Source organism: Homo sapiens, chromosome 4, assembly GCF_000001405.40.
Source record: "Homo sapiens chromosome 4, GRCh38.p14 Primary Assembly".
NCBI classification, from domain to species: Eukaryota; Metazoa; Chordata; class Mammalia; order Primates; family Hominidae; genus Homo; species Homo sapiens.
The window spans coordinates 41,311,755-41,334,799 of record NC_000004.12 but is presented as its reverse complement, the minus strand read 5'-3'; the positions used below and the strand labels follow the sequence as shown (position 1 = coordinate 41,334,799).

The 23,045-nt window shown below is 41.4% G+C and overlaps 1 annotated feature.

The window, feature by feature from the left end:
- Positions 6,499 to 7,159: an enhancer, noted in NCBI's record as "OCT4-NANOG hESC enhancer chr4:41329658-41330318 (GRCh37/hg19 assembly coordinates)". NCBI's record gives its function as "activates a minimal SCP1, AML or CMV promoter by ChIP-STARR-seq in primed H9 embryonic stem cells {active_cell/tissue: H9 hESC(primed)}" and the evidence as "EXISTENCE:reporter gene assay evidence [ECO:0000049][PMID:30033119]".

Below are 23,045 nucleotides of genomic sequence, written 5' to 3'. Positions count from 1 at the left end.
ACTCACATCTGCAAAGAACTGATTTCTAAATAAGGTCACATTCACAGGTACTAGGGGTTAGGACTTGAACATATCTTCTTGGAGGATACAATTCGAGCTACTACAATATTACACCCGCATGTGCTTTAATTTTTAGGTAAGAAGCCAATTATAATCATAGCTAACATTTATTGAAAACTTAGCCAACATGCTAAGCATTTTATAAGCATTATTTCAATTAAGTTACAGCATGTTTTTCCCCACCCCACCTACCTCCATCTCCCCTCGACCACCCAAATATCCAGTTTCCATTACTTTGCCTTCTGGTAAACAGAATAGCACTTCAAAATTCCTGCCAGTGAATAAAGCAACAGCTTTCACAAGTGAAGAAGAATTGCTGCTCCTAGACAATCACTGGTTTGACCTGTTTGGTCACTTTTTGAGGCTGTACAGCTAGACTTACCCAACTGGATGTAATACCAATAGGATCTGCAAAACTCAATACCTGACACCAGGCTCTTTTTAAGGAATACAATCTCTGTCAGCTTCCAAGCGTATATCAAATGCCTGTGTCAAGCTAGACTGTCATAAAGCATTCTGCTTCTTCCCACCTTTTTAGTATAAAAATTTTCAAACATAAAGTGAATTTTTAAAGTTCTACAATTAATACCCATTTTCCCACTACGTAAATTCTACATTACTATTCTGCTATTCTTGCTTTATTCTATAATTATGCATGCATCTATCCATTAATCCATCTTATTTTTCCCCCTCTAAGTACTTCAGCATGCATATCATTAAACCAGACCAGAACACAGGCTCTTTGGAGGCAGGCAGATCCCCTAAGAGAGGAAAGAGGGAGGAGGTCAGCTGAGGACGCACTCTTCCTTCTTCCACACTTAACCGATTAACCCAGGAACTCCTTTTGCCACAGGAGAAGTAAGAAGTAGCAAGAGAAGCCAGGAGTGGGACAGTGAGGATCTCTCTCCACAAGGAAACAGGAAGAAGGGGGGAATATATTCCCATAAAAGGATACACTGAATAATGTAATGGATAAACATTTTCAATGACCAATACAACAAATTATTGGCATACTCAACACTACTGCCAAGCAATGATTTGGACTTCAGTAATTCTAGTCTGTTCCATTTTCCGCAATTCTCCAATGACTGTAACCATCTCTGTTTCTCTTTGCTTTTATTTGCCTTTGCCCTCATTCTCTCATACTCCAAAAGGACATCTCCATGAATTTAATACTAGAGCCATATCACATTGAGAATTAATACTAGAGCCAATATCTTAACATTTTTATTATCATGCAAATGGCTCAAATACAGATAATGTATTTTCTTTTGCCTATGTTGCCTAGGAAACAAAAATAGTGTGGCATTTCTTTAGGTGATTATTATCTGATCTCAATCCAACATACTGCAGCTATTCTCTATGCCACTGGCTCTCCTACTTTCGTTCAAAGCAAGCCCAGTTGGGGACTCCATGTGGTAGAGATTTTCAGAGCAGAGTATGAAAATCTTCACGTGATATGGTTTGAATTTGTGACACTGCCGAAATCTTATGTTGAATTGGAATCTCCAATGTTGGAGGAGGGGTTTGGTGGGAGTGATTGGATCATGGGAGCAGACTTCCCCCTTGCTGTTCTTGTGATAGTGAGTGAGTTCTCACAAGATCTTGTTGTTTAAAAGTATGTAGCACCTCCCCCCTTCTCTCTCTTCCTTCTGCTCCAACCGTGTAAGACATGTCTGCTTCCCCTTTACCTTCCCCCATGATTGTAAGTTTCCTGAGGCCTCCCCAACCATGCTTCCTGTAGAGCCTATGGAACTGTGAGCCAATTAAATGTCTTTTCTTTATAAATTAACCAGTCTCAAGTATTTTACAGTAGTGCAAGAACAGACTAATACACGATGCAAAGAGGAATGTGGTGGCCTGTGGTGATTGACTCACATCCCAAATCACTCCCTGATCCTTTGATAACTCCCTGATCAAAGAAGAAAAAGAATTATTTATTTCTATCCCCTGTCTGCAAAATTCCATGAAAGTTCTAAAATTAGTCCAGCTTGGGTCACATGTCTATTCAGGACCAATCACTGAAGTTAAGAGGATAAGGAACAGTGATCAGCCCAACTTGGGTCATGAGTCAGCCCGCCAACCCCTGTGCAAAAAGGGATAAGGTCTATTATAGAAAGAAGTTAGCGGTGCTGGGCTTCACTGGGAACACAGAGGAAATCTAATGTTCTCATTTATTCTATAACCCTTTTCTTCCAAGTCCCACTCCACTCATAAGTTCTGTTAAAAGTTGAAATGTCTACTGATATTTTCTTTTCTTTCTTTCTTACTTTTTTTTTTTTTTTGAGGTAGGGTCTTTCTTGTTCTATCACCCAGGCTGGGGTGCTGGAGTACAGTAGAGCAATCATAACTCACTACAGCCTCAAGCTCCTAGGCTCAGGCGATCCTGCCTCAACCTTCTGAGTAGCTGGGACTACAGGTGCACGCCACAGTACCCGGCTAATTTCTTTTTAAGTTTTTGTAGAGACGGGGTTTCAAGATGTTGACCAGGCTGGTCTCAAATGTGTGGCTTCAAGCTACTCTCCTGCCTCAGCCTTCCAAAGTGTTGGGATTACAGGCATGAGCCACCATGCCCAGCTATGGATATTATATAGAGAAACAACCCTCTAGCAAACAGGGTTTTGTTTTGCAGCAGAGTCTCACTCTGTTGCCTAGGCTGGAGTCTAGTGGCATGATCATAGCTCACTGTAGCCTCGAACTCCTGGGCTCAAGTGATCCCCCTCCCTCAGCCTCCCAAGTAGTTAGGAATTCAGGCACAAGCCATGACACCCAGCTAAATTTTTTATTTTTTGTACAGACAGGGTCTTGCAATGTTGCCCAAACTGGTCTGGAACTCCTGGTCTCAAGTGATCCTCCCACTCCCAAAGCACTGGGATTACAGGTGTGAGCCCTGTGTCCAGCCACAAATAGTTTTTATGACACTTTATGGGCAACACTTTTTTTTTAGAAAAAAACTTTTTTCATATTGTGACACTTTAGAGGCAATGAACTGTTTAGATTATAAAAACTTTTCGTTTTCATATTATGACACTCAAGAGGCAATGACATGTTTAGATTAAATGAGTAGTTAACAAAAGATTAAGATGCTTTTATAGCAAGTTCTATTAACAGTTTTTATTAAGAATGATCATAAAATTCTTTGTTCTTAAAATTTTTGCTGAGTAAAATAGAAAATTTTAAGGGTGAATCCAAATGCCTAAGGAACTTGGTATGAAGGGAAGAATAAACTGTTTAACCTCTATTTAACCTTTCCTAGCATGTTTATTTAAACGTTCTGCCAATGTTGATATGATTCGCTCAAGAATGTAACCCAGGTTATGTACAGTTAGATATAATTTATTTACAAGTCTGCAGAACTTTAGTTGCCTCTATAACAAACTTTAAGAAAATAAACTGAATGTGCAATGGCTTTAATCAAATAGTGTCAACATATAAAAGTAAAAACAAAATTGAGACAATTCCAACCCTTAGCAACTTTGTTTTTCCAACTCAAGAATGTGCCCAGTAGTCAAATAAAGAGATATTAGAACAGATACTGATAACACAAATCCAGTATCTCTTATATCAAAATCTCACCCATTTCTCCAACTTTAATATCAAGAAGCAACCCATTCCATCAAAAGCAAAATAAAACTCACCAAACACCATTTTATTTTGCAAAAACTACAATCTTATCTTGTGACAATGTTAGCAGAACTAAATTTCTAGAATTATTTCTCTTTCCCAGCACATGGATTAAAAAATCTCAAATACCTTGACTTCAGAGCTAAATCCTATAAGCAACTGGAACTTGGGGGGAAATGCACTTTAAAATATAATTAGGCCAGGTGCGGTGGCTCACACCTGTAATCCTAGCACTTTGGGAGGCTGAGGCAGGCAGGTCATCCTGAGCTCAGGAGCTCGAGACCAGCCTGGGCAACATGGCGGAACCCCGTCTCTACCAAAAATACAAAAAATAATTAGCCAGGCGTGGTGGTGGGTGCCTGTACTCCCAGCTACTCAGGAGGCTGGGGCAGGATAATCGCTTGAACCTGGGAGGTGGAGGTTGTGGTGAGCTGAGATCATGCCACTGCACTCCAGCTTGGGCTACAGAGTGAGACCCTGTCTCAAAAATAAATAAATAAATAAATAAATAAATAAAAAATAATAATCAGGGCCAGTGGCTCACACCTGTAATCCCAACACTTGGGGAGGTAAAGTAGGAGGATAGCTTGAGCCCAGGGTTCAAGACCAGCCTGGGAAACACAGTGACACTTTATTTTCACGTAAAAAATATTAAAAATTAGTGGGCTGTGGTGGCCTGCACCTGTAGTCCCAGCTATTTGGGAGGCTGAGGTGGGAGGATTGCTTGAGCCCAGGAGTTCGAGGCTGCAGTGAGCTACCACTGGTACACTTCATAATGTAAAGCCCAAAGAGTAGCAATGGGTCCAATATATCTCTAATTGGCCCTAATTACACCTATGTGTCCTCATCAGACTAACACTGTCATATAACACTTTTACCTTGAACCCAACCAAAGAGACTGGGTCCTGCACAGTCATCACTCAGCATTCAAGGAATTACTTCCCCAGATACTTCCTGCTTCTCTTACTTCCTTCTCTTCAATTCCCTTGAATATACTTCGACACATCATGCCACTGCACTCCAGCCTGGGTGACAGAGCAAGACCTCAGCTAAAAAAAAAAGGGGTGGGTAATCAAGGGTGGAAATGAACTATCAAATGGCTCCTCCATAAGACCACTTCAGATATTGAACTTAGGGTTATTTCAGAGCTGTCAAATAAACTCTGGCTTGATCCTAAACCAAATGCCCTTGAGGTTACCCAACCAAATGCCAGGGTCCCCCATAGCACTGTGATATGACCCCATTTTGGACTCTTCCAATGCATGTTCTGCTCCTGCTTTGCCGACAGTCTTTCTGCCATGGGAAATCTTGCCTAATGGTCCTAAAAGCCTGGGTGAAGTTTCCCCACAATGGAATTAGCCCCCTATTCTGAATCCCCTTGGAGAGAGGATAATCGAGTTGGACAGTTGAAACATAACAGGAAAGCAGTTCCTCTAGGTTCCTGTACCAGGAAATAGCTCCTAGTGCCAAGATAACTCCAGTGCCAAGACCCCAATCATATGGAGGTTGACATGCTGTGTTTCATCTCACTGCTACTGAAGGAATAATACTTTGCAAAAATCATGATGTCGAAAGTGCATCCTGTTCGGCATAGAGCCTTGAGCAAACACAGAAACCTTTGTCCCTGCTCGTATCATATGGTGGACAAAGACTTCCAGTCATAATTCTCTTCTCATTTTGGACATGAAAATCAACCCTAAAAAAAAATAAATAAAAACAGAAAAATAAATGCAAGACATTTGAACACTGGAACCACTGAGCCAGACCAAAGGTCAATCTTTTGTGTTTGTGAGTGGAAACTAATGAATGTTTCAAGGCATGGTGTAATTGGGCTTCATAATGTAAAGCCCAAAGGGTAGCAATGGGCCCAATATATCTCTAATTGGCCTTAATTACAGCCTATATGTCCTCATAAGACTAACTCTGTCATATAACACTTCTACCTTGAACCCAACCAAAGAGACTGGATCCTGCCTAGTCATCACTCAGCATTCAAGAAATTACTTCCCAAAATTCCTGCTTCTCTTACTTCCTCCTCTTCAATTCCCTTGAAAGGTGAATTCCCACATTTTTTTGATATAGCCCCTCCATTTTAATGCACTGATAAATGCCTCTTCTGGATTCTAGCCCAAAGTTCCATTTCTTGATCTATAAACTCCTATGTCCCTCTGACAGTTCTTTGTCACAAATAGGTCATTGGGAGCCACCTACTATGTTAGCATTGCCACTTCACCCAGGAAGGTCACACCAAGTATGGCTGAGCCTTCCAAAAATACTCTTTGATGGGTAAAGCATATACCTGGGTTAACTGCTCGCCCTTTATAATATATCACTTTTCTTATTTGCAGGAAACTACTCAGTTAAGGCACCTACACCAGTAACTTTCAACCTCAGCTACACATTGCCATCAACTGGGAAGTTTTAAAGACCTATTTATGCCTGCATTTTACACCCAGAGTCTGGCTTAATGAATATAGGGTGGAACAGAGATTCTTCAAAAATTACAAGGTTGAGAATTCCTAATTTGGAACATACATTTCAGTTCAAGCCAATTTAGCCCTTCTCCACATTCATCTTCACAGGCCAAAAAGTTTAAATCCTTTTAGTATGACTTCTTACAGAATCCGTCCATCCTCTCGATTATTTTAACTGCTACTTTCAACTCACTAAAGTTTGTGATGTTAATGTGGACAGGTGAAATAAATAATTGTTACCATTTACAGACCACAGCAGCTAGAAGTCAAATGAATGGAAATGATCATATTGAAGCTTCTCAAAGGAAGGGATATACCTTATTCATCTTTGTCTTTCCACAGTATCCTACCATGGTACTGATACAGAAGGTAGAAATTATTTAGGCAGATAGTAAGGGCAACAGAATCCTCAGCAGAATTTCCCTTTTAACAAAAAGCAGCCTCCAAATCATTTCTCTTCTAACAAAGAGCAGCCTGAAAAATCGAGCTGCAGACATAGATAAGTAAGCTGGAAGCTTGCACTGGTGAATGCCGGCAGCTGTGCCAGTAGAAAAGGGCTATCTGAGGGTCAGTCATGTTCAACACGGGGGCTCCATCTTCTCTTTTCTTTGTCACCATGTGTATAGTAAAGGAACAGGTAACATGGCACCTGCCAGGTAGAGAACCCGTTTGCATAATAAAAGATTAGGCTGGGGGTGGCCAGATTCTCATGCACTATGCTAATGGCACACCTAGCCCTAACCAGTTTTTCGTGTGCTATGCAAATGTCACACCCTGTTCAACCAATCTTTCATGCCCTATGTAAATCAGACACCACCTCCTCAAGTTCATCTATAAAACCTCTTACACTTCACCGGGGACTGGAAGACCTGCTCAAGACCCCTCTCTCTACAGGAGAGAGCTTTTCTCTTTCTTTTGCAACCCTTGCCTCCAGAGCTCAAGCAATTCTCTATTAAACTTCCACTCTTAACCTCACTCCTTGTGTGTCCGTGTCCTTGATTTCCTTGGCGTGGGACAATGAACCTTGGGTATTACCCCAGACAAACAATACTGCTTCAGTAGTTTGACCAAAGTAGGCACCTAATACATATTTAGGAGGAAAAGTTAGATAACCTATATGTAATATCTGCTTCAAATTTTTTGAAATATCTGGGCCAGGCACAGTGGCTCACACCTGTAATCCCAGCACTTTGGGAGGCCAGGGTGAATGGATCACTTGAGCTCAGGAGTTTGAAACCAGCCTGGACAACACGGCAAAACCCCATTTCTACCAAAAATTAAAAAAAATTAACAGTGCACAGCGCACGTGCCTGTAGTCACAACTACTCAGGAGGCTGAAGTGAGAGAACTGCTTGAGCTCTGGAGGCGAGGGTTGCAATGAGCTGAGATGGCACCACTCACTGTACTTTAACCTGGTGACAGAATAAGACTCCATCTCAAAAAATAAATAAATAAATTTAAAATAATTAAAAATAAAATAAAAATATCTGCAATATATAAGATGTGCATGTAGTTGAATAATAGTTTGGGGGGAGGAAGTAACCAATATTTTTTCAATTCATTTTTTTAGCAGCTTTATTAGGATATAAGTCATATGTGATACAATCCACCAATTTAAAATATACAACTCATTGGTTTTAGTATATTCACAAAGTTGCGCAACCATCCCCACCATCAATTTTAGAATATTCATCACCTAAAAGGAAACCTCCTACCCAGTAGCAGTCACTCCCATTCCTCCCCCAAGCCCTAGCAACCACTATTTTATGTCTCTATGAATTTGTCTATTCTGGACATTCATATATACAAAGTTATACAATATAAGGTCTTACATGTCAGGCTTCTTTCACTTCCCATAATGCCTTCAAGGTTCATCCAATATTGTCTCATGTACCAGCACTTCATTAATTTTTATCACCAAATAATATTTCATTATATGAATATAAAGCATTTTATCCATTCATTAGTTGATGGACATTTGGGTTATTTTCACTTTGGGCTACAATGAATAATGCTGCTATGAACACTTGTTTTTGTGTGGACATATATTTTTATTTCTATTGGAGTAGAATTGCTGGGTCATATGGCAACTCTATGCTTAATGTTTTGAGAAATTCCCAAACCATTTTCCACATTTGCTGCACCATTTCACATTGTCACAGTCTGCCCTACCCTCCTCTCCCCCATTCAAGCACTTAGGTCTTTCTTTTCCCATTGCCTCAGGAGAAGGATGTGACTGGCTGAAAGAAGAAAAAAAGAGTGTTTCTGACTTTCATTTCTAAAAGCCTTAGGAAACCAGTGAAGACTGGCAGAATAAATGTAAAAAAAAAAAAAAGGAAAAAGGAATTAGAGAGAGAGGACTTCCCTCATTCCACTCCACCCTAATCTTCAATACAAAGAAAAATTCCTTCCAGGGCTGAGAAGAGAACAAGAGATCAGAGAGAAGAGATAAGAAGGCAGCTGTTTGGGGGTCCCAAGGAGGTTGTTAGATGGGCAACATGCTTTCCTTATTAAGTAGACTGACAAAGCTCAGGGAGGAAATTGCTGCATAGGACATCTAGGCTCCTGGGTCTTTAGAGTCTTGCAGACATTTCCTCATCCCAGCATGGCAAGAAGAGCAGATGTTTGAGTGCACTCTAAGCTAACACAAAAGGGCCAGATTGGCAATGAGAAAAGAAAAATAGCTCAGAGCTGTCTGAGCTATATGGAGGTATGCAGGCCCAGAGAGACATGAGTATGAAACTTCAATCATTCCCCACAAAATGCCCCCTCCACATATCCCATACCTGGGGGCAACTATTTAAAGTCATTTTGTCCCCAACTACCTGCCTTGCCCATTATCCTCATGTTCCTGGAATTTGTGAGACAAAGAACAATGGATAACCAATAGCTTGCATAATTCTAATGTAACTTCTTGGTAAACAACTCAACAACTGCTTCTTCTTTCCCTTTAAAAATCCACTTGTAACTGCTGCCAATCAGAGTGTCTATTCAGAGCAACTTGAATCGGTGCTCCTTGGTTGCAACTCTTAAGCTTGGCCCAAATTAACTATACTTATATTAATTTTGCCTCAGCTTCTTCCTTTTGAAACTGCTTTTGCAAAATTATGACAGTAAGAGAAATCTGACCTTGACTCCATCTTGCTTCTGACCTCCAAGCTGTCTTTGATCATTGCTGGCTATAGGCCAGGCTAACTTTAAGAGGAATATAGTTTATAGTTTAACTTGAAAGTAAGAATAATAGTACCTCCCTAAAACTAACCCCCTCCTTGCTCAGGGACCAAAAACCACCTTTTTAAAACTAAAGAAAGGCCACAAGATTAGGATAGGGGGGCCTGAACTTGGCTCAAATGTAGGCATAGTTTCTATAATTCCTTGCTGCTCAGGGGTCATATGGCCAGAGGTCACAAGACTTGTGACTTTCCCAATTGCCCTTACAGATAAATAACGTCACTATTATAGAACCTAAGGATTGGTTTCTTTGAGACGTTTTTCAGACTGACCCCCACCCGGACTCGGAACTCACGACTCAACTAATCCTGTGGCCCCACCCAGAGGTAGACACAGCACATGAGGCCAGTTTTCCACATCCTATGATTTCATCCTAAACCAATCATCCCTAGCCTCCTGCCCACAAGATTGTCCATAAAAACCCTAACCTCCAAGTCATCAGGGAGACAGATTTGAGTGATAACTCCAGTTCTCCCACACAGGCCGGCCTCATGTCAATTAAGCTCTTTCTCTACTGCAGTGCCCTGGTTTCAGTGAATTAACTTTGTCTTTGCGGTGGGCAGGAAGAACTTATCAGGCGATTATGCTTTAGGTTGATAGCAGGATTGAAGGACACATCAATGGCAATGTGCAGAGATGGAGGCCCTGGGACCTACACTCAAACACCTTGGATCTACATAAACCTCCCAGAATTTAGATTTAATCTCGGGGAAAGAGGTGGTAAGGGAAGCCCATAATGATTAAGATTAATTTTCTACCAGTCTAGAAAAATACAGGTTCAAAATTCAGTTGTGTTTCTTGTTTGTTTTTTTTTGAGACGGAGTCTCGCTCTGTTGCCCAGGCTGGAGTGCAGTGGCACAATCTCGACTCACTGCAACTTCCGCCTCCCAGGTTCAAGCGATTCTCCTACTTCAGCCTCCCGAGTAGCTGGGACTGCAGGCGCACGCCACCACACTCAGCTAATTTTTGTGTTTTTAGTAGAGACAGGGTTTCACCATGTTGGTCAGGCTGGTCTCGAACTCTTGACCTCGTGATCCACCCACCTCGGCCTCCCAGTGTGCTGGGATTACAGGCATCAGCCACCACACCCAGCCTCAGTTGTGTTTTTGATATCAGACTAGGTTTATTCTGCCCACACTCAGCAAGTCAATCACTGTGATGATGGGTTTTGCAAAAGAAACAGTTTACTCACAAGGCAGCCAAGGAAGGAGGTGGGAGATCCAGAGGGATGTTTATGGGACAGAGGAGCAAGGTGGTCTGAGGCGAGGGGAAAGGTAATTAGGGATAAGGAAAAGTGAGTTAATCCACAATCTGTGCACGCATAGTCTAGCTTCATGGCTCTTCATAGAACACATGTTCTGAAAATGGCAGTGTTAGCATGATCTGCGGGTAGAATTTTTGGCCCTCTAATGTCAAAATGTCTCCTCTCAAGAATTCTCCCAGGCCCAGTTGAATGGTTGATGGTCTTAACCAGCTTGAACTGGACAAGAGCTGCCCCTTAGCTCCTGAAAAACAACCTTAAGCAACTGTTACTATGGTGACCCACAGTCAGAGATGTTATCTATAAGGAAGCTAGTAGGAGTTTAGTTCTGTATTATTTGGCTTTATGACTTGCTAGTGGGAGTTTTTAGATCAACTAGAAGTAAGTGATTAAAAGCAAGCAGGGCAGGTTAAGTTTGGTGGGCTTAATCAAGTTAACCCTCAGTTAAATTTTGGCAAAGTGAAGAAAATCGTATTTTTGAGGTACACACTAAGATTAGTATCCACCACATAAACTTAGAAAAAAGACTAAAGAAATCAAATGTTCAACAAATATATGAAAAGACACACTCACTGCTGAAAGTACCATGTGCAGTAAGCATATGGAACAAAAGGAATTTTTCCAAATTTCTTATACAGCAATCAGTGGAAACCACCACTTTGGAGAGCAAGTTAGCAGTACTTAGTAAAATTGAACAGTGGTAGATCCTATGACCCAGCCACTGCATTTCTAGGTATATACTCTGGAGAACTCTTGCATAAGGATGCCAAGAGATATGCAAAAGAATGCTCACTGTAATACTTGTAATGTTACGTAATGGTAAAAATAAACTTAAAACAAGCTAAGAGTTCATCAACAGGGGAATAAATGAATAAATTGTCCCACATGCATTCAAGGGAATTCTATGCAGCCTTGCCTCCAAAAATGTGATGCCCAACCAGCAGTGTTGGCTTCAGTTGAGAACTTCAGACATACCAAATCAGAATCTGTACTTGAACAAGATCCTGTAGTGATTCATGTGCCAATTAAGGTTCAAGAAGGGCTGTTCTTACAGTTAAATGAATGAACTATGGCTCCTTGTGTCAACTTGGATAACTCTTAAAAATATAATTTCAGAGAAAAAAATACAAGCTGCCAAAGTTTAGTAACAGTATTATTGAGTCAGGATAGATAGTAAAGGAAATAACCATGTCCTTGGGACATGAAAACTGCACCGTCAACACATGAGCTGGTAACAATGTCAGTTACCATGTCTGTTATGTGGGACACAGCAACTGCACCAGCAACGTAACAAACCCCAGTACTCACATTGTGATCAAGCCCATCCAAGCAGAACTATCTTCAGGGACTTTCCCCTGTAGAAAGCATGCGCATTTTAATTTTACTTGTCCTCAGATTGACCCTTTGCTCATTATAATAGTAAAAAACACACCCCTGGATGGAGATTGAAGATGCTAATGAGACATGTGATACATGAACAAGCACGTACAGCTACTGAGAATACCCAAAAGACCACCTATAATATACTTACTAGCAACATCCTTTCCCACCCGTTATGAATAATTATGTGATATGGTTTGGCTCTATGTCTTCTCCCAAATCTCATGTTGAATTGTAATCTCCAGTGTTGAGGGAGGGACCTGGTGGGAGGTGATTGAATCATGGGGGCAGATTTCCTCCTTGCTCTTCTCTTGATAGTGAGTGAGTTCTCATGAGATCCAATGGTTTAAAACTGTGTGGCACTTCCCCCTTCTCTCTCTCTTGCCACCATGTGAAGAAGATGTTTGCTTCCCCTTCACCTTCTGCCATGATTATAAGTTTCCTGAGGCCTCCCAGTCATGCTTCCTATGAAGCATGTGGAACTGTGAGTCAATTAAACCTCTTTTCTTCATAAATTACCCAGGCTCAGGTAGTTCTTTATAGCAGTGTGAGAATGGACTATTACAGAAAATTGGTACCAAGAGTGGAGTATTGCTAAAAAGATACCTGAAAATGTGGAAGCAACTTTGGAACTGGGTAATGGGCAGAGGCTGGAACAGTTTAGAGGGCTCAGAAGAAGACAGGAAGATGATGGAAGATTTAGAACTTCCTAGAGATTTGTTGAATGGTTGTAACCAAAACACTCATAGTGATATGGACAATGAAGTCCAGGCTGAGGTGCTCTCAGATGGAGATGAGGAACTTATAGGAAACTGGAGTAAAGGTCACTCTTGCTATGCTTTAGGAAAGAGACACAGCATTTTGTCCCTGCCCTAGAGATCTGTGGAACTTTGAACTTGAGAGAGATGATTTAGGGTATCTGGCAGAAGAAATTTCTAAGTAGCAAAGCATTCAAGATGAGACCTGGCTGTTTCTAAAAGTGTACACTCATGTGTGTGAACAAAGAGATTATCTGAAACTGAAACTTCTGTTTAAAAGAGAAGCAGAGCATAAAGGTTTGGAAAATTTGCAACCTGGTTGTGTGGTAGAAAAGAAAAAATTTTCTGGGGAGAAATTTAAGCCTGCTACAGAAATTTCCATAAGTAAAGAGGAACTGAATGTTAATAGCCAAGACAATGGAGAAAATGTCTCCAGGATATGTCAGAGACCTTTGTGGCAGCCTTTCCCATCACAGGCCCCAGATGGACATGTGTTGTTAAGTGAAAAAATAAACCTCTACTATTTTAAGCCACTGAGATTGTGGGGTTGTTTGTTACAGCAGCATAACCTAGCCTCTCCTGACTGATACAGAGGGAAATCCTGAGATAAAGTTACTGCTTCTTTTGACATGGTCACAACCAGCACAATCCTCAGTTGAAGTTATACCATTCCCCTCCACAACCTGGCTAACTTAGCAAAAAAGCAAAATAAAACAGAAACAAAGCAAAAAGAACACAGAATCCCCAGAGGCTTTATTAATGGAGGTATCACTATATGCCTCTGATGAAGGAGCCTACATGGTCCTCCCACAAGCATTGATTCTGGTTCTAAGGTATCATCTGGGGCCCAATCTCCTGGGCAGCTCGGAAGCTGAGAACATACTGCTCAAGAAAGGATGCTGTTTTTCCTCTTGTTTCCAGGTCAAAGATTGAGTTCCCAGAGGTGAATTAACAAGTGAATGTTTAAGATCTGTTAGTACTCAGAAGCTTTCAAAATCTTTTTCACAGTATTTACCACTGACTCATTATTTCATACCTGTATATTTTCTTATAAATGTGTTTGTTCTTCTGAGTAATAAAAAGGAAAAAACTGCCTAATGCAGCCAGGTGATCTCTAGAAGGGAATTAACTGCTATAATGTTTTTGGTTTTAGAGACAGGGTCCCACACTCTATCACCTAGGCTGGAGTGCAGTGGCATGACATAGCTCACTGTAGCCTCAAACTCCTGAGTTTAAGTGATTCTGTCATCTCAGCCCCCCAAGTAGCTAGGACTATAGGCATGCACCACCACACCTAGCTATTTTTATTTTTATTTTTAGTAGAGACAGATCTCTCTATATTGCCCAGGCTGGTCTCAAACTCCTGCCCTCAAGGGATCCTCCTGCCTTGGCTTCTGAAAGCATTGGGATTACAGGTGTAAACCTCCGTGCCTTGCCTAACTATTACAACTTTGACCTAATTCCTACAGACATTTTCTTTAGTTGCCTTGTGCAAAGTACTTTATTTCAAGTGCTAGGAAGAATACCTAGAGAACTGCTCATCTCATCAACTAAGGCTTTCCTCTCAGTATGAAGCTCTTTTACCTCAGCCTTTATGTGGTTTTGTTTCTGAGATAAGATCTCTTAAACTCTTGATTGATTGCTGAGAATATTTAAACTTTATTTATTCAGTGGACTGATACAATAAATATTTAAACTTTATCCAGTGGATTGAGTAAATTTATTTAATCAATTGAAAACTTAATTTGTTTTCAACTGATTAAGGAGACATTCAGAAGATCAAAAATGTTATTCATCAAAGAGCATCCATCTGTAACAAGAGAAATATTCTGAAGTTGGTGTTCAGATGTTGGTGTAGAGGTAGTCTACAGATTTTTGGAAACTCAGTTTGAATAGCTACTTCAAGAGAAAAGAGAGGCACCTCCATGTGGTTGTCAGCATGCCCGGTTGTTATAAGCCGGACAACTGAAAACTACTTGAAATCTAAGAGGGTCTTTCCACTGTCTTCCCAGCTCCCTCAGCTGGATTACTCCACTCCACCTTCTGGTCTCAGGCTAAGTGTTGCTGCCTCAACAAACTATCCCTGGCCCCCTAATTAGGTTGGGCCCCTCGTATACTCTCAGATACAACTCCATATTTCCTTCTTAGCTATCACAATTATCACTAAATAAGCATTTCTGTAATAATTCATTTACATTCACCTCCAATAAATCATGAGCTCTATGACACCAGTGATCTTATCTGTATTGCATGCTGCTCTTCCGGCTCCCAGTTGATTCATTCAACAAATATTTATCAAGTGTCTCTTACGTGCCAGACTCCATGCCAGGTACCAGGGACACATGGTGAAAAAAACAGACAAAGATTCCTGCCCTGATGAAACTTAACATTCAAGAGAGGAACTCAAACGATAAACGATGACCTAATCAATGAAATAGTGTATTAAAAGGTAAACAGAGCTGTGGAAAAATAAAAGGTAGAACAGTGTAAGGAAGGGAAGCTGGTTGCAGGGGTAAATAGGGTGGTCACGTTAACCCCTATCGAGAAGGTGAGAAGTAAGCAAAGATTTGAAGGTGAGGAAGTTAGCTCAGTAGACAACTGGGTAAGAAAGTTCCAGGCTGCAGCAGATTCCTTAAGGCAGAGGAGTACCTGGTTTGTTCTAAGAAGATCAGCGGGGTTAGTGTGGTTGGAGAGGTATAAGCAAGACAGTAGTAGAAGATAAGATCAGAGATGCTCAACAAATATTTGTTGAGTGAATGGATGAAAAAAACAAATATTTTCAATTTTTACTACTATGAAGAATGTTCCCATGCCTTGCATATTTTCTCATAGGTGAGAAAACAAGTCTCTAGATTCATCCAGTCCACAAACTGTAATCTCATCTATATTAAGTGGCAACTCTACAAAGCATTGTGTCCTTTTATTGCCAAAGAGGAAGGATCTCCTGGCTGAGTCAAGAGATGGCGGTGTGTCCTCTTAACCCTGAGTCATTGAACTGCTCTTAGCCTGGATTCACACAACAGAGCCTGAAGCTGAGGAGATAAAGGAGATCCTGTGGCTCCAGTCACAAGCCTGTGGTGCTGACAGGCCACTCCACCTTCAAGGCTGACGTGATGGGAACCAAAGTGCAGGCAGAGGGACAAGAAAGCGTTCAAAGAGGCTGAGAAGCACTATCTCACTCAGCACATTGAGCAGAGAGAGCTGGGAAGAAAAATGGGCTCTTTGTGGACAAATGGCTATCCCACCCTCACTCCCAACATTGAAACTCACTCCCCAGAAGGGGTCTGAAATCTACACACACTAATGGTATATGTCAGTAGTTTCCAAATACCGCTGCAGGACCAGCTGTCAGATGCTTGGCCAACTCTTCTCTCAGAACTTCCTAAGAAGCCTTCTCTTTTTTCTTTTTTATTGATTTTCAAAATTTTTTTCTTACTCTGACAGATGGAGAGAAGCCTTCTCAAACTGCAGAGTCTGGAAGTCCACCTCTGGAGAGTCTGAATCGGTTTTCTGGACAGACTCAGGAATTCACATTTTTCACAGCTCCCCATGAAATTCTAAAGAGCAGCCAAGTTTGGGAACCACTGCTTTACTGTGCTGCTAGTGTGCCTGCATTTGATAGGAAAGGAACATCTTTCACCAGTGGCATAGGTTTCCTTTGGAGTTATTTCAGGGATCACTGGTCATATTATGTTGAGGTACCAAGGGCAGGGGGACCTGCCAGAATTTCTGAAATCACAGGCTAGAAACGACCATCTTCACAGAGTCTATGCCCCTTGGGACAGTGATGGAAGAATCTGACCCTCTTCTCAGGTTTCTCCTCACCCCCACCGGCAAGTTCTTCCAATGGGGTCACCAGTTTGAAAGCAGCTAGAGATTTTTGTACATATTAATGAATTATAACAGAGAGAAGTGTGAGAATCTTAGAATTTCCATTAATATTCTAGTAAGGGTTGTGAGAAAGATAGCTGTGGAAACCATCACAAGATGGCTCCCAAAGATCCCTACCAGCTCGTCTTCATGCTCTTGGGTAGTTCCCTTTCATTGCACTAGGGTTGATCTGTGTTGTCAGTGGAATACAGCAGAAGTGATGGTATGTAGCTTCCACAATTAGGTCATTTAAAAACACAGTGTCTTTCATCTTGGGCTGCCTTTCCCCCTTTGCTCACTCACTCTGGAGAAAGCCAGCTGTCATGTTGTGAGGACACTCAGGTGCTGTATGGCCATGTAATGAGAGACTGAAGACCCGCTGACAGCTAGCAAGGAACTAGAGCCTGCCAACAGTGCAAATGAGCTGGAACATGGATCCCCCAGTCCCAGTCAAGCTTTCAGATGATTGTAGCCCCAGCCAAGTTAGACTGCAACCTCATGAGAGACCCTGAATGATAATAAATGTTTGTTGTTTTAAGCTGCTAAGTTTCAGAATAATTGTTTTGCAGCAGTAGATAATACAATGGTGAGTTCAATAGTTCATCAGAGAATAATTCATTACAATCCCAATCTATACTTTTCTCTCCAACTAAGCCATATGGCATTTTAACAAACTTTTACTGAAATATAGCATAGAGATATAGATGTAGATATATAGAAAGTGTACAAATCATAAATGAATACATTTCTTTATACAACACCCAGACCAGGAAATAAAATATCACCAGCATCCCAGAAGCACCCTCATGCCCCTTTTCAGTTACTAGCCACCTCATCCTTAAATATAACAAGTATGGCCATACAGAAGTTTTGCCTGCTTTTAAACTTTATATGAATTAAATCATACCAATCATACCACATATACTCTTTTGTGTCTGGCTCCTTGACCTCATCATGTCTGTGAGATTCATCCATGTTGCTTTGTGCTTTGAAAGTATCTGTTGAATTGTCTTACTGATTTGTAGTAGTTATATATTCTAGAGACCAGTTCTTTGTCAGATAGGTGAGATACAAATTTCTCCCATGTTATGGCTTTTTTTTTTTTTGAGACAAAGTCTCACTCTGTCACCCAGGCTGGAGTGCAGTGGCACAATCTTGGCTTGCTTGCCTCCCGGGTTCAAGCAATTCTCCTACTTCAGCCTCCCGAGTAGCTGAGATTACAGATGTGTGCCAATACACCCAGCTAATTTTTGTATTTTTAGTAGAGATGGGGTTTCACCACATTGGCCAGTCTGGTCTCGAACTCCTGGTTGAGTTCAGGAGATTTGCCTACCAGGTGATCTGCCTGCCCCAGCCTCCCAGAGTGCTGGGATTACAGGTGTGAGCCACCACACCCGGCCAGTTTTTTCATTCTCTTAATGGGATCTTTTTAAAAAGGAAGTTGTTAGTTTTAATTTAGTCCATTTTATGATTTATTTTCTTTGTGGTTTATACTTTCTGTGTCCTGTTTGAAAAATAATTGCCTTCACCAAGATCATAAAGATATCCTTGTTTTCTTTTAGAAGCTTCATTTCATACAATACATATGGAATTGATTTTTGTGTATCATGTAGTATAGAAGTTGTGATTCATTTTTCCTATGTGGGTATCCAATTGATTTATTGCTATTTATGAAGATCATTCTTTTTCTTGTGCTTTATTGTCCCTTTGTCATAACCCTAGTGACTGCATATTGTCTGTTTCTGGACTGTTTATAAAGCTGCCTTTGCAAAATTATGACAGTAAGAGAAATCTGACATAATCGACTCCATCTTGCTTCTGATCTCCAAGCTGTCCTTGGTCATTCCTAGGCACAGGCCAAGCTAACTTGGGGAGGAATATAGTTGATAGTTGAACTTTGAAGCAAGGATGATAAAGTCCCTCCCTTAAACCAAACCCCTCCTAGTTGAGGGACTAAAACCACCTTTGTAAGACTAATGAAAGTCCACAATATTAGGATTATGAGAGAGGCCTGAATTCTGCTAAAATATAGGTGTAGTTTTTGTAATCCCTTACTGCTCAGGAGTCATGTGGCCAAAGGCCACACAACATGTGACTTTCCCAATTTCTCTTATAGATAACATCACCATTGTAGAACCTAAGATTGACCTTTTGAGATTTTTTTTTCAGACTTTCTGGCCACCAGCTGATCCCACCTGGACCTGTGACTCATGACTTAACTGACCCTGCAGGCCCACCCAGAGGTGCACTTAGCACAAAATGACCGATTTCCACAACCCTATGATTTCATCCCCAGCTAATCAGCAGCCTCCATTCCCTACCCACTTGCCCACCAAGTTGTCCACAAAAACCCTAGCCTCTGAGTTCTTGGCAAGACTGATTTGAGTAATAACTCCGTCTCCCGTGTGTCCAGCCTTGTGTCAATTAAACTCTTTTTTTTTTTTTTTTTTTTTTTTTTTTTGCCGGAATACCATGGTCTCAGTGAACTGGTTTTGTCTCTGCAGGAGGCAGGAAAACCTGTTGTGCAATTACATCTAGTCTGTTCATTTTTTTTATTATTATTTTGAGACAGAGTCTCGCTCTGTCTCCCAGGATAGAGTGCAGTGGCGCAATCTCGGCTCACTGCAACCTCCGACTTCCGGGTTCACGCCATTCTTCTGCCTCAGCCTCCTGAGTAGCTGGGACTACAGGCGCCCGCCACCGCGCCCGGCTAATTTTTTTTATATATTTTTAGTAGAGACGGGGTTTCACCGTGTTAGCCAGGATGGTCTCCATCTCCTGACCTCGTGACCCGCCCACCTCAGCCTCCCAAAGTGCTGAGATTACGGGCGTGAGCCACCGTGCCCAGCCTACATTGTCTGTTCATTTTTAAAATACCAAGTTCATCAATCCATAAATATAACATATTTCTCTATTTATTTAGGTCTTTTTTAAAAAATTTTCTTCTAAAAAATAAAGGGGGGACACATGTGCAGAATGTGCAGGTTTGTTACATAGGTATATGTGTGCCAAGGTGGTTTGCTGCACCTATTGACCCATCCTCTAAGTTCCCTCCCCTCAGCCCCCACCCCCCCAACAGGCTCTGGTGTGTGTTGTTCCCCTCTCTGTGTCTATGTGATCTCATTGTTCAACTCCCACTTATGAGTGAGAACATGCAGTTTTTGGTTTTCTGTTCCTGTGTTAGTTTGCAGAGGATAATGGCTTCCAGCTTCATCCATGTCCCTGCAAAGGACATAATCTCATTCCTTTTTATGGTTGCATAGTATTCCATGGTGTATATGTACCGCATTTTCTTTATCCAGTCTATCATTGATGGGCAGTTGGGTTGGTTCCATGTCTTTGCTATTGTGAATAGTGCTGCAATAAACATATATGTACATGTGTCTTATAGAATGATTTATATTTCTTTGGGTATATATCCAATAATGGGATTGCTGGGTCAAATGGTATTCCTGGTTCTAGATCCTTGAGGAATCACCATACTGTCTCCCACAATGGTTTAACTAATTTACATTCCCACCAGCAGTGTAAAAAGCATTCCCATTTCTCCACAGCCTCACCAGCAACTACTGTTTTCTGACTTTTTAATAATAACCATTCAGATTGGCGTGAGATGGTATCTCATTGTGGTTTTGATTTGCATTTCTCTGATGATCAGTAATGTTGAGCTTTCTTTCATATGTTTGTTGGCCATATAATTTTTTTTTTTTTTTTTGAGAAGGAGTTTCACTCTGTTGCCCAGGCTGGAATACAGTGGTACAGTCTTGGCTCACTGCAAACTCCACCTCCTGGGTTCAAATGATTCTCCTGCCTCAGCCTCCTGAGTAGCTGGGATTACAGGTGCCTGCCACCATGCCCAGCTAATTTTTGTATTTTTAGTAGAGAGAGGGTTTCACTATGTTGGCCAGGCTGGTCTCAAACTCCTGACCTCAGGTGATCCGCCCACCTCGGCCTCCCAAAGTGCTGGGATTACAGGTGTGAGCCACCACGCCCAACCTAAATGCCTTCTTTTGAGAAGTGTCTGTTCATATCCTTTGCCCACTTTTTGATGGGGTTGTTTTTTTCTTATAAATTTGTTTAAGTTCCTTGTAAATTCTGGGTATTGGACCTTTGTCAGATGGGTAGACTGCAAAAATTTTCTGCCATGCTGTAGGTTGCCTGTTCACTCTGATGGTAGTTTCTTTTGCTGTGCAGAAGCTCTTTAGTTTCATCAGATCCCATTTGTCAATTTTGGCTTTTGTTGCAATTGCTTTTGGCATTTTTGTCATGAAGTCTTTGTCCACACCTATGTCCTGAATAGTATTGCCTAGGTTTTCTTCTAGGGTTTTTATGGTTTGGGGTTTTACATTTAAGTTTTTAATCCATCTTGAGTTAATTTTTGTATAAAGTGTAAGGAAGGGATCCAGTTTCAGTTTTCTGCATATGGCTAGCCCGTTTTCCCAGCACCATTTACTGAATAGGAGATCCTTTCCCCATTGCTTGTTTTTGTCAAGTTTGCCGAAAATCAGATGGTTGTAGATGTGCAGTGTTATGTCTGAGGCCTCTGTTCTGCTCCATTGGTCTATATATCTGTTTTGGTACCAGTACCATGCTCTTTTGGTTACTGTAGACTTGCAGTATAGTTTGAAGTCAGGTAGTATGATGCCTCCAGCTTTGTTCTTCTTGCTTTGGATTGTCTTGGCTATACGGGGTCTTCTTTGATTCCATATGAAATTTAAAGTAGTTTTTTCTAATTTTGTGAAGAATGTCAATGGTAGTTTGATGGGAATAGCATTGAATTTATAAATTATTTTGGGTAGTATGGCCATTTTCACCATATTGATTCTTCCTATTCATGAGGATGGAATATTTTTCCATTTGTTTGTGTCCTCTCTTATTTCCTTGAGCAGTGGTTTAGAGTTCTCCTTGAAGAGGTCCTTCACATCCCTTGTTAGCTGTATTCCTAGGTATTTTATTTTCTTTTTAGCGATTATGAATGGGAGTTCATTCATGATTTGGCTCTCTGCTTGTCTATTGTTGGTGTAAAGGAATGCTTGTGATTTTTGCACATTGATTCTGTATCCTAAGACGTTGCTGAAGTTGCTTATCAGTTTAAGGAGTTTGGGGGCTGAGATGATGGGGTTTTCTAAATATAAAATCATGTCGTCTACAAAGAGAGACAATTTGACTTCCTCTCTTCCTAACTGAATACCCTTTATTTCTTCCTCTTGCCTGATTGCCATGGCCAGAACTTCCAATACTATGTTGAATAGGAGTGGTGAGAGAGGGCATCCTAGTCTTGTACCGGTTTTCAAAGGTAATGCTTCCAGCTTTTGCCTATTCAGTATGATATTGGCAGTGGGTTTGTCATAAATAGTTCTTATTATTTTGAGACATATTCCATCAATACCTCATTTATTGAGAGTTTTGATTAATTTGTTTCAGTAATATTTTGTAGTTTCATCAATATTTTGCTAGTATAAAGCGGACGGCATTTTTAAATCTTTTTTTTTTTTTGAGACAGTCTTGCTCTGTTACACAGGCTGCAGTGCGGTGGTGCTAAAATAGGCTTGTTCTGTTGACTTTGACCCTCTTTGCGGGTGGGAACTGGAGTGACACGTTTCACTCAGCCCACCACTGGCCACTCCTCCCGAGAGGAAGCGTTCAAGCGAGTGCAGGAACCCGAGGGAATGAATGCTAGAACCGGCCAGTCACTCCTCTGGGGCAGGAGCAGGTTCTATGCGAGCCCCGCAGCAGCGTCCAAGCCCCTGCCCTCTCGGCACTTGGGTTCTTGTCTCGCATCATGGAAGAATCAGATCACACAAACGGATTGAAGGGTAGTGTATATGGAGAATTTTATTGGGCAATGGAAGTGGCTCCCAGCGGGATAGGAGTTGGAAAGGGGATGGTGCGGGAAGAAGGTAGTCTTTCCCTGAAGCCAGAGTCTGAAGTTAGCCGCGTCTATCTGTAGTCTCTGACGCTCAGTTGCTTCTCTACTTGCTGCTCAGCCGCTTGTGTTGCTCTGCCAGCTGCAGTCTTTTTATGGGCACAGGATAGGGGCGTGGCAGGTCAAAAAGGCAACATTTGTGGGGGGAAAATGGGGTCAGCTGTTTTCACTTGGGGCCACAGTTCCAGGCTTAAGGGTGAGGTTTAGCTGGGAGCCCAGCCATTCTGTGTCAGTGCAATCATAGCTCACTCTAATCTCAAACTCCTGGACTCAAGTGATCCTCCCACCTCAGCCTCTCAAGTAGCCAGGACTACAGGAATGCACCACCACACCCAGCTAATTTTTGTATTTTTTTGTAGAGACAGGGTCTCACTATGTTGCTCAGTTTGTGCAGGCTGATCTCGAACTCCTGGACTCAAGCAATCCTCCTGCCTTGGCCTCCCAAAGTACTGGAATTACAG